A 13,144-nucleotide genomic window follows, 5' to 3' on the forward strand; every position below is an offset into this window, starting at 1 on the left:
CCCTGTTTTGTTATATTTGTTGTGGTGTAAATACTCCCAACATGGCCCATTTCAAGCTACCAAAGTAGCATCAGTGAACTTGGGAGTTGGAAAGAGATTGCACAATAGACACACCCTTGCTGGCCAATATGAAAGAGCCAGTGCTGGAGCCACAGCAGACCACTGAATATCTAGACACTCAAAATCTAGCGTGTGTGGTATGCATGGTAAATGTCTTGTCATTCAGAGGGGAAGGAGGACAGAGTATCCTATCTCAATTCAGGAAAGGGCTTCTTGAACAGGAAGAATGTGAGCAGGCATCCTGGAAGAACAAGGTTTGGAAAGAAGGAAGAAAGGGGCTTTTAGGCCAAAGAAGCTAATCAAAGCAAAACCACAAAGACAGGAATGGGTAAGAAAAGTTGTTTTTCTGGAAGTAGATTGCATTGACAAGCTGAAATATTGTGAAGCCAGAAGGCAGACTATCTTGGAAATAAGGCCTAGACTCTTTGTGCCATCTTGGGCTAGGAAGGAGATTTCGGTACATACTTGGCCCAAGGGGTCTCCATCCAAGTCAGATCACAGATGCCTGCACTGATACCACAGATATGCACCCAGTGGCACAATCAGCTTCAGGGCAATTAAAAGGCCCATTGAATAAAAATTACAATAATAGCAAGTGCTTATTGAGAGCTAACTGTTCCATGTCAGAAATACACCAATCACTTTCCATCTATTAGCTCACTTCGTCTGCACAACCTAATGAGGTGGTTGCTCCATTGAGCCCATTTTACAGATCAGGAAACCAAGTCACCACAAGCTTAGATAATTTTCTGTACTCCTTGTTCTGGGATCACACAGCTAGTCATGACAGAAAGAAGATTTGATCCCAGGCAGTTTGGCTCTGAGCCTACCCTCTTAACCTCTCTGTTATTTCTTTTCCTTTCTTTTATTTTTCTTTCATTTTAAATTCATGCCCAATCTTTTATCTATATAGTACTCTTATTCTTTTCTACTCCCCAATTATTTTGAAGCAAATCCCAAGCACATGTAATTCCATCCATAAATAATTCAGCATGTAACTGTAAAATATAAGGACTCATTAAACACACACATACATCCCATTATTGCATTCAAAGTTAACAATAATTTTTAATATCATCCAATATCCAGTCAGTGGTCACATTTCCCCAATTATCTCATAAACACAGCATAAAAATAAATAACCATTTGTTCAAATGAGGATCCATGAAACATCCAAATATTGCATTTGATTGCTCTTTAAGTCTCTTAAAACTCCTCTCTTTTTTTATCATGCAGTGTATTTGTGGAAGAAATCATATTGTCTGTCCTATGATGTTTTCTACAATTTGGATTTTGTAGTTTATATGCCCACGGTGTCTTTGAACACGTTTCTCTGATCTCTGTAATTCTAGTAGATTGGTTGTTATTTCTAGAGGCTTGATTCGAATTCAATATAAATTTTTTTTTTTGTCAAACTTACTTCTCAGGAAAAATCGTATTTTTCTAATAGCTGGCACTTAAAATCTGGGGTCTTTCTTTTTGTGATCTCAACAGCCATTGAAGATTTTTTGCCTGGACCCATTGTCTCATTAGGGACCACCAAATGGTAATGTTCTAATTTTATCATTCCTTCTTCATTTATTCTAGAAATTAAAATACTTCCATGAAGACAAATAGACAAATTTTCCTTTACTATTAACTATTTGGTTACCTCAATGAATATTTTATAGATGAAATACAGGACAGATACTCTAATTTTTTTTTTTACTATTTTCCAAATAATTTGCTTCCTATCAATGTCCAAAGATGAACATTGAGGCTGTTGTTGTTATTGCTGTTTATATGTTTGTTTGTATGTTGCTTTTGTATCATTTTGAACTCAAAGATTTGAACATGTGATGTATTTTAATCTATTGCACTTGTTTTCAATTTAATGGTGCACTTGTTCCATTTTTGACCCATGGGCATATTCTCAGTTCTTTTGGCTCCTGAGTCCTTTTGGCATTGCAGTCTTTTACGTCTTTTTTGTTATCTGGAATGACAAGATATTCTCATTTGCCTAGTACATTTTCTCCTGACCCAGAATCAGCCATTTCTCCAGTGGGAAATGGTATTTAGAAAGTGTACTGTAAAAGCTAGAGAAGTTTTCCATGCTTCTTCTAGAGGTAAATAGTGGCATAAAAATGCCAAGCTGCAGCTCAGTCAAAATATTTTCCATTTGGGTTTAGTTTCTGCTTGAAGTAAAGAAGGGGTGTGACCTAGGTACATTTTCAAGTTCACCAAGTTGCTATGATTTTTCCTCTTTCATTCCTTGCTTCACCATTAAGGCTTCCATGAAAAAGAAAACAAAGCAAATAAACAAAAATTAAAAATTTCCCAAAGAAAACACTATTAATTTCAAAAGCCAAATTTGTTAAATTTTATTCTGCAATCTCCACCTCCTAAAAAGGAAACAGAAGGCCGGGCACAGTGGCTCACGCCTGTAATCCCAGCACTTTGGGAGGCCGAGGCAGGCAGATCACGAGGTCAGGAGATCGAGACCATCCTGGCTAACACAGTGAAACCCCGTCTCTACCAAAAATACAAAAAATTAGCCGGGCGTGGTGGCAGGTGCCTGTAGTCCCAGCTACTCGGGAGGCTGAGGCAGGAGAATGGCGTGAACCTGGGAGGCAGAGCTTCCAGTGAACCGAGATAGGGCCACTGCACTCCGGCCTGGGTGAAAGAGTGAGACTCCGTCCCAAAAAAAAAAAAAAAAAAAAAAAAAAGGAAACAGAAACTAACCCCTTGATCATGTTAGTATTGACCCTAGTGCTGTCTGTTAACTTGGGATATAAGGAAAGAGTTTGAAAATATTATTCTCAGCTTTCTTTACATATTCTCTTTACAAATTTGCTAATATCCTCTAAACAAAACTGTTCTCTAGAGTTCAGAGTATAAACTTTCCAGCAGATGCTGCTGATGCTAAAAATGTCTCCCAATAATACCTTTTAACTCAATTTCCAATCCTTAGTCCTTTTCTACATGCTTCAAGATGGTCTGAGGATTGGCTGTGCAACAAATAGTCTGGGCAAATCTTCCTACTACAAAGCTCTTTAGCACCAAGAGAAGTGAGAAACTGATAGTTGCCCACCAAAGTCCTTTTTCCTTATTCTTCCTGGGCACGCAGCAAGCTCACATTTCCCAGCTGCTCTTGAAGTTAGGTATGGCCAAATAATTACATTCTAGTCAATGGATTATGGGGAGGGATGTGATGAGTCACTCCCAGGTTTGGCCCATAAAATCCTCCTCTGTGGGCTTGCCTGTGCTTTTATTTGCTTCTGGCTGGATGAGATGGAGAAACCATAAGATCCTTGCAGGCAACATGTTGATGATGAACGAGATTCTATCTGCCTGAATCCTTGAATATCTGCAGGGAAGAGAGTTGCCCACCTCCACCAGGAATTCTCGCATAACTCTATTTGAGAAAAAAATACACTTCCATTAAATTTCAGCCATTTCTTATGACTGGGTCTATTTGTTACCAAGTGAAGCTCACTTATACCAAAAGACAGCAACTCTGTAAGGGCCAGATGCTCTGGGTTCCTGTGATCCCCGCCCATACTGTCCACTAACTCTCAAAAATCCTCTTGAAATTAAAATTTGAAGCACATTGTGTAGATATAGATTTCCTACTCATAATATTAAATTGGCTTCAGAAAGTGAAATGAAACTTTCGGAAGCATAGCCTCTCCTAGGAACATGAATAGCCAGTATACTATTGAGTCCAAGAAGAGGACACTTCAGTTAACAATCAAACACAAAACAAAGCAACAAAAATTGTGAACTATTTAGTCAGATTGCCTGGGTTCATACAGCAGCTCCAAATTTTACTACCTGCAATAGTAGTCTTGGTTTTCTCACCTGTAAAATGTGAATAAAGTTTTGAGTTAATTTATACAAAGTACTTAAGTCACTGCCCGGTGCATAAGTGCTCAAGCATAAAAGCTACTATTCTTGAAATTACATGAATTAATGAATCTATTTAACATATATGAATGTCATGCCTCCTATGGTCCATCTCTATGGTTGTCACTGGGGTTTCAGGGAAGTGGGTCCTAGAGGGAAAGGAGTTCTGATCACCATCATTAGACCAAGATGTGGAATGCAATTCTAAAATGGAGCCTCAAGTAATATATTTCCATGCACCCATGAGGGGTAAACTTTGTCAGCCTCAGACAAGAGTCTCATTTACTCATTCATCCATTCAACAAATCATAAAATAGATGTAAGGTATAAAAGTGGACACCATAGCTGGGGTTGGGGAGGGCAAAGATGAGTAAGTTATTACTAATTATTATGAGCTGAAACATTTTTCTAGGAGAGTCAGAAGTCTTCAGTGCCTTCTAAGGAAGCATGAAACAAACTGAAACTCAGACACCCATTGCTCAGCCTCCTGCCAATTCAAAAACAAGCTTTCTGATAACATGTCTGTAAAACTGGTTATTTCAGGGTGTCAAATTCAGAAACTAGGAGGGGGCCAGGCACGTGCCTCAGTGATGGCAATCAACCAGGCTGAACAACAGACCTGCATTAGAATCCCTTCCGATGGGGAGAATGGACTTGGCCGCCATATGGGAAGGTGGACACAGTTTGCCAGTTCTCCTAAGTTTCCAAGAAAAATATCTTCACACAGTTGTTTCTGTTTTCAGGGAAAAATCCATCAACTATTCTATAAACCTAGATTTGTATATGAAAATTTCCAATTTTTAAACATTAACCGATTCTTTAAAGAATGTTTTCCAACTGTGCATGCCCACCAAAACCCAACTGTGGGCCAAACCTGGCATGTGGGCCATCAGCTTGAGATCTCTGGTGTGTTTACTGGACAAGAGTTAAGGGGATTTGGGCAGACAGAGAGTGAGAATCATTAGTGGCAAATTTTTTTTGAGAAGAAAACAAATCAAAACAACAACAGGGAGGAGTCCAGGGCCCTGGGAAGGAAGCCACCGGACTCTCTCTTCTGTTGAAGGAAGCCACCAGCATGGCAGGGAGGCCCAGCCACACAACAGCACCCTTCACTCTAGGCATTCCATATAAATCAGAAGTATTCACAGAGCAAGAGCCCTCCAAAGCCATTTTTTCCCAATACGAATATTGTCCGAGTGATTGTTGGGGGAATACACAAACAGACTGCAATAAAATTAAAAATAACTTTTGAAGGAAATAGTATATTGGAAGGATTCATTACAGAAGTTCAAACAACAGCCCATATGTTTCCCCCCTCTTTATGGTAGAATATACAGAGGGTCTGTAATAAAATGAGGGCAGGGAAGGGGGGTGAAGTAGGACTTGCTTGCTGAGGTAAAGGATAAGATCCAAACAGCAGATAAATAACCAAGATATCTTTATGATTATATAGGCACTTGCCTCCTGAGTTAGCAGAAATTTCCTTGCTGATATACATTTGCAATGAAGTTTTAATTAACACTGGTTGACTGTGATAAGAAATGAATAGTTTTCCTGTCTATTTTTCTGTCCATCTCCCAACCCCCACTCTCCATTTGTCGTTAAGTAAACCTATGAATTTAGTCCCTCTGGATATAAGTCTCTCTCTAACTTTATTGCTTAGAATCTAAAATCCCTTGTGATTTTCAGGTTGACTGAAGGTTACATGGCGATGATACAAGAACCTACCCAGAAGTTATGGTTGCTTATAATTTAAGAGAATTACATTTATTCTCAAAGTCTGTCCTAGGCTGTATACAATGTAAAATTTTATTTTATCTTTAAGATAATAAATTTTCCTATAAATCCTGGAACATATTAACTGTTGTAGACAAGTTTTTGAGGGCCTGAAGGAACGAAGAGTAGAGGAGGAACTTTTTCATACCCACACACAATTGTGCTCAGCCTTAAATTTTCATCACAGCATATATATTAATGATATTTTTATTTATGCTTTGTCCTACAGGCTTTGATTCACAGGAGTTGATACCAAAAGCTTAGAATATACAGTTCAGGCTTAATGAGGGATAAAGGGAAGTTGAGATTAGTTGTATCCTGAACCATCAGTGTAATTAATATTAATTAATTTACTTTTACAAAGGAAGAAATCATCTTTTCTTTTGAAGTTTATTTTCTAAGAAGCCCTGGAGGGAGACCATATCAGACACAACTGAGCTTGAAAGGTTTAAGAAAGTACACATATGAATTGTACACATTTATAAACAGAAAGAAAAGGAGATAAGGAAAGAAGGAAGAAAGGGAGGAAAGAGGAAAGAAAGGCAAAGAGGAAAGAAAGAAAGAGGAAAGAAAGGAAAGAAAAAGAAAAAGAGTAAGAAAGAAAGGAGGGAGGGAGGAAAGGAGGGAGGGAGGAAGGAAGAAAGAAAAGAAGGAAAGAAAGAAGAAAGAAAGAAAAGAAAGAAAGAAGAAGAGAAAGAAAAAAGAAAGAGAAAGAAAACAGAAGGAAGGATCTGAAGAAAAGAAAGGAAAGAAAGAAAGAAAAGAAAAGAAAGAAAAAGAGAGAAAGAAAGAAAAGAAAGAAGGAAAGAAAAAAAAGAAGACCTTTCCACTGTCATTTTAGCTAGGGAGATAATGAGATGCTGCCACTATCTTTCTCAGACCACCTTTAAAGTTTTAGGCTCTTTATTTCCTTTGCTTCCTGGTTAACCTTAAGTTTAAGCCCTAATAAAATCCAAATTTATGGGGATCAAGCTTGTCACCAGCCTTTCATTACTGCCAGTTTCCCTTCAATTTCATCTAACTCAGTTTGGGGCATTTAAAAATGTTTTATCACACTTAGTAGAGACGTTTGGTGTAGTCGCCAGCAAGCCAAATAATGAGTGTTTTGAAATAAGCCAATACGGAGGACTCAGATCAGGGACTAAGATATGGATAGTGCTTTAGAGAGGGGGGTCTTTGCTGGGCCCCAGTCCCTCATGTTTTAATCAGGAAAGGCGGGTGGCAGGTCACAGAGATTAGGTTTAACCTTCCTGATATACATCATATCTCTTGCCCTTTCAACCTTCTAGCAGTGTGAGGAGGCATTCTTTCTGAAACCCATAAATTAGAGACCAAGGTTTCTTTGCAAAGTATAATGACAAGATGACAGAATCCCCATGAAGCCTAATTCTTTTCCCTAGACACGAGATTTTTATTTATTTTCTTTGGAACGTTAAGCTACGATCAGTGGGTCAATGGGAGTACTGCTTTTTTTAAAAAAAAAAAGTTAAAAAAATGCTTTGGTCATGAATGCATTCTGCTAAGATTTAAGATAAAAAAGTTAAAAAAAAGCAAAGGACTCTTCCTCCTTTACATGCTTGTTTCAAAATCCACTAAGTAAGTTATTTAGGTTCTGAAAGTTGTATACAATGTAAATCCATCCGGGCTGAAGTAAAAAAAAAAACCCAGGAGCTGTAAAGCTGGTTTCTATATTGTTTGGACATAATACTGTTCTCAAGTGAAGCCATAAGGGAATAGGGCACTTAAAATAGGGTGTCACATTTCAAGGTAATAAATAGCAGATTGATTCTACCTCCCAATTGATCCTGCAGTTTACTTATACACAAGATGGAAAATAAAGTAACAAAGCCACTGTGATTTACTTTGTAGAAAGGAGACACTCAGTATTAGCTTAAGTGAATGCACAGGCCAACTCTGACAATTTATTACAGGCTCAGTCCAAATGTAGTTTGGATCAAGTTGCACTATTGGCACACACATATTACCATGCATTTAGCATCTCAACAATTAAACACACTTTAGGCCTCTCTATTTCTTAACATACATTTTGCTATGCTCTTCAAACTAGCCTTGTCATTCAACATTAGAAATCTGCCCCTTTTCTTTGCTTAACATAGGCTCTCTTAAATACTGGGACATCAACTTGTTCCTGTCTGTGTAGGAGTGGTTCCTAATATTTGGAAATTGGGATGTGATCTAGATGTTTGTTTTTGAAATTCCCTTCAATTATTTTCTTCCTTCCAAGCACAATGTTACATAATATGGCTGTTTCGTATTATGAATTGAAAACACTTTTATTCCAGGAGTGTTTGGGGGATTTCCCAGCATCCTTTGGGGCACCCTTATCCACTTGTGTGGGTTTAGGGGAAATTGATCCTGGCTTCTGAATGGCTGGCTCATATTGGAAGGTGCTGACTGGCTGTATCACTTCATTCTGGACAAAAGTACTGAATCACAACGATAGAACTTACGATTTTTTTTTTTTTTTTTTTTTTTTAGTTTTCACAATGTGTCATAAACTGTGGTAAGTACTTGTCAATTATTGCCAAATACAGTTTGCCTATTGTCAAAATAGCCCTATGAAGTAGGTGCTAATCTCTGCCTTTTTCAGAATGGGAAACTGAGGCTTACAGAGGTCAAACCACAGAATAAAGGATTCACACCCAGGCCCATCTGATTCCAGAGTCCATGATCTGGGCCAGTATTGTATAATGTCTCCAAGAAGGGCACATAAATATTGTCCCAAACTCTAAATTACTAATGGCTAAAAGTTCATTGTAAAGCTATTGTTTATAATTCTCCATTAATTTGTTTCATTGAAGCAAATTATCCATCCTAAACAGAAACCTGGTGTGAGGGCTCATGATATTGGTATGCAGTTTATATTACCCTGTATCATCTCCTCTTTTGTTTCTTTGATGCCATAATAGGGCATTTCAGTTTTGTTTCTAATCAGTACTTTTTTTGGTCTTCCCATGGACTTAGAATGCAAAAACAGCTTAATAAACTAAAATTGTTTAAAAAATGAATAGTGTTGAGAATGCATGAGCATTTAATTTTTCTCCTAACTCATTGGACAAATGAGAATACATGAGCATGTTTCTATGAGGTATAAGAAAACGATGTCAAACATTGCAGTGGAAGGCATACTTTCAAAAAAGATAAAGGAACATAGAGAACAATAGTCTTTCTGGCTTTCTGGTTCTATAAATATGACAGAGTAGATTACCCACTGCACACACACACACACACACACACACCCCACACAGATGTTCACACAATTAAAAAAAAGACTGCTAAAAAAATGGGAAAAAACTTCTTCTATTTTCTAAAGCATTACTGAGCTCTGCATTTTTGTTTAAGTAAAGAATCCTCAGGGAGAATAAAACAAAAGGAAAAGACAAATCTAGAGAAGGAAAAGACAAATCTAGAGAAGGAAGGTAGTATTCAAATTGGCTTTTGATTTCTAAATGGCTACAGAGGGCACAAGACATGGAAGACGAACAGATACCATTGTACCTCATTCTTCCTGTAAGGATGAAAGAGAAGCATTCCACATACACACATGTCACACCAGGAAGCATCACGGGAACTGGACTCCACTGTCTCCACCTTGAAACTGGATAGAAATAATTTTTAATCATGAAACTGCTCTCATTGTTGTTCGAAAATTCCTCAAGCTGAAAAATTATTTTAAAGTGGTGGCAGGTTTATGGAGCTCCCAGACAACTAGCAGAAGAAAATCAAATATTCTCTGCAGAAACAGAATTCCAAGTATATGCTCACAGCTAAAAATCACAAGCAACAAATGGAAGGAGATCTTATAGAAATAAAAGCCATAATCACAACACCGAAGCCTTTGGTAATGAAATAACAAAATGCAAAATGTAAACAAAATATGTTTATTATAATTAGAAAATATAAAAGGAGATTAAAATATGAATTAGATGTAAGAGGTGATACAAAAGATACAGTAGATTTGAAAAAGTACCAAATAGAACTTCTAAGACTGAAAAAGTAAATATAATTCTTGAAGTTAAAAACTTAATGGATGTTTTTAACTGTAAATTCTAAATAGCCAAAGATATTGTGAACTGGATTCTCAATCAGAAGGAATAATGCAGAATACAGTACGGGGTGACAAGGAAATAGGAAATAAAAGAAGAGGTTACGAGGAAAGAAAGAAAAGGTCCAACATATGATTCACCAGTTTCCCCCAAAAAACAAAATGAGAAACTGAGGGAGAGGCAATATTTAAAGGCTGAGACTTTTCCAAAATTTATGAAAGATACAAGACTCCAGATTTTACGAAACACAAGGATCCACCCCAAACTATATGCAGTCACCTTATAACAAAAACTAAAACTGTAAATGATCTTAAATTCAAGCAGAGAACAAATTATCCATAAGGAAAAACAATTGAACTGACAACTGACTTCTCAAGAGTGACATAGAAGACAATGAGATAAAATCTTCAGTACGCAAAAAACAAAAACAAAAATAAAAAACCAGTCAATTTAAAATTGCATGCAATGTCCAGCTATCTAGAATGAAGGCAAAATAAAGACGTACTCAGTTAAATGGAAATTGAGTTTAACACTAAAAGATTATCAATTAAGAAAAAATATGTTTTGCTATGAGGTAAAAGGAATTTGTATTTAAATTTAAATTTAGGTAAGCATTAGCCATATTAAAAATGATAATGCTATTTTGAGAAATTAAAATATATAGATACAAGATACTAGAAAAATTACAGTTGGAAGGTGTTGACTGGATTTGTAGCATTCTAAAATTTTAGGAGAAAAATACAGATATTAGTTAACTGTAGGTTTTGTAACCATGCATGCAAAAACCTTAGAGTTGCCACTACAGTTTTAAAAAAGAGGAAGCATGGATAATTTACAAAGCAATGAATGAAATAATGGAATTAATGGGGGAAACAAAAATATGGAAGACACAGAGGAGAAAACAGGAAAAAATGGAACACACAAAAAGCATGTACAAGATGGTAAAAATAAATACAAGTGTATCAGTAATCACAATAAATGTAAATGTACTAAATTTATTCCCTACTTAAAAAGCTTGACAAACCAGATTAAAACAATATAAGCAAAATGCAGATGGATGCTGTTTTTATGAGACATATCTGTAATATAAGAACAAATAAAGTTTGAAAGTGAAAGGATAAAAAAAGATATTCCCAACAAAAGCAAGTCAAAAAGAAAGTTATGAGGCTATCTTTCTTTCAGACAAATTAGAATTTAAGGAAAAAAACTGACCAGAGATAAAGATAATAACTGCCATATGAATAATAGAGTCAAATTAGTAAGAATCTTACACAAAATTTCTAAAATTATAAGTGCTTATTACCTAGCTTCAAAATACATAAATAAAAAAGCTAGACTCTCAGGAGAAATTAATAAAATCCAGCATCATTGTGAAGAATTTTAACATCCTCTTAATAAGTGATAAATGAAGCAGCCAAAATATTTTTTTTAATTGTAGAATATTTGGACAGCATATTCAATAAGCTTGATCTAAGGGACCTAAATAGATGAATGAATCCTCAAATTTAAAACAGTACACTAAATGACACTCACTAAAAATTTTTGAAAACTGGCCATGCATTGTTTTTCTTTTTGCTAGTATTAACAGTTTTTAAAAGCTTACATCATACTGTCATGTGAATCACATAATCAACAACTGATCAACAATAATAGTTAACATGCATTAACACTTAATTGTAACTCATAAATATATACAATTTAAAAAGGAAGTGAAAAGACAACCCACAGAATGGAATATATACTTTGCAAATCGTGTGTCTTATATCTTATAAGGAACTTCTATCTAGAGTATAAAGAAAGCTTGCAACTCAAAAATGAAAGACAAATAACCCAACAGATAAGTGGACAAAACATATGAATATACATTTTTCCAAAAGTTGTACTAATTGCTGATAAGCCCATGGAAATGTTCTTAACATCTCTAGCCGTCAGGGAAATACAAATCAAAGTTACAATGAGATACTATGTCACAACCATAATCAAAGGAAAGTTAATAATAGGTGTTAATAAGAATGAGGAAAAGTCAGAAAAACAATTTCAAATGGCTAAACATGTTGTTCCTATCACTTTCACTCCAAGAAATGGAAAATTAGAACAGTCATAATCACTAAATAAATTGAATCCATAGTTAGACATTGTTCCTTAAAAAGACTCCAGTTCCGAACAGGCTTCTGGTGAGTTCTACTCACTTTTAAAGAACAATTCCAAACAAACACAAAAATTTCCAGAGAAGAATAAAAGAAAAAAACCCTCTCCAGCATATTTTATGAGACTAGTAAGTTGTGATTCCAAAACCAGTCAAAGAAAATATGATAGAGAAAAACACAGGCCTATCTCACTAATGAAAAACAAATATACTAAACAAAATATTACCAAACAGAATCTAGTTATGCATAAAATAGATAATTCATCAAGACAAGTCGGATTTATCCCTGGAATTCAAGCTTGAATTAACATCTGGAAATCAAGGAATTATTCACCATGTTAATAAATTAAAGGAGAGAAACTACATGATCATCTTATTAGATGCAGGAAATAAGTGTTCAATATGTGTTACTGTCCATTTAGTTAAAAAGTGCTCAGGAAAAAAGAGGAACTTCTTAATATGACAAAGGATGTATTTTAAAAAAAATTAAGACAAGCATTTTATTGAATGTTGAAGTGACAAATGACTTCTATTTAAGATCACAAAGAAGGTAAGGCCAGCTCCTAGTACAATTTCTAGCCAACATCCCATGGCAGAGTCTAGAAAGCGAAGTAAGACAGGAAAAAACATATATGGAAGGATTATTAAGCAAATAAAAATGCCATGCTATGTAGATGATGTAGTTTGTCTATATAAGAAAGCTAAAATTATCTACCAAAAATTATGAAAGTGAAAGAGTTTAGCAAGGTTGCCAGTTTCAAAATAGCCAAAATATAGAGGTCGGTAGCTTTTATAAACACCATCAACAGTTAGAAAATGCAACAAAAATATTATTTACAACAGCAGTTTAAAGTAAAATACATAGGATTAAATCTAGGCCTTTTACTTTTCCATATATATTTGGAAAGTAAGTTGACTTTCAACTTCCATTGGGATTTTGAGTGAAACTACAACCAATCTATAGAAAACTCTGGAGACAAATTATATTTTTATGGCTTTAATCATTTTTTGTGGATAGCTAAACATTAACATTGATGATGTTCAAGATATAATGCTGTGGGAATAAAGTCATAGCTGATTACCTAATATAAAAATACTTTTGCTCAAAAACATACAAGACTGAACAGATTAGAGACACAAGGGACAACAAGAGAATGATCACACACCATTTAGAATATGGGAGTACCAAACACATTGCTAATCTATTTCT

The 13,144-nt window shown here is 35.6% G+C and overlaps 1 long non-coding RNA gene across 1 annotated transcript in view; it reads right to left on the minus strand.

The window, feature by feature from the left end:
• Window positions 1-2,788: 2,788 nt before the first annotated feature.
• LOC105371257 (uncharacterized) overlaps window positions 2,789-13,144 on the minus strand; it is a 52,702-nt gene continuing 42,346 nt past the window's right edge. Inside the window, exon 4 of the long non-coding RNA XR_001752182.1 lies at window positions 2,789-3,454. This is a non-coding gene — a long non-coding RNA (uncharacterized LOC105371257). The remainder of the gene's footprint in view (window positions 3,455-13,144) is intronic.

The sequence above is a fragment of the Homo sapiens genome, chromosome 16, assembly GCF_000001405.40.
Source record: "Homo sapiens chromosome 16, GRCh38.p14 Primary Assembly".
Classification (NCBI taxonomy): domain Eukaryota; kingdom Metazoa; phylum Chordata; class Mammalia; order Primates; family Hominidae; genus Homo; species Homo sapiens.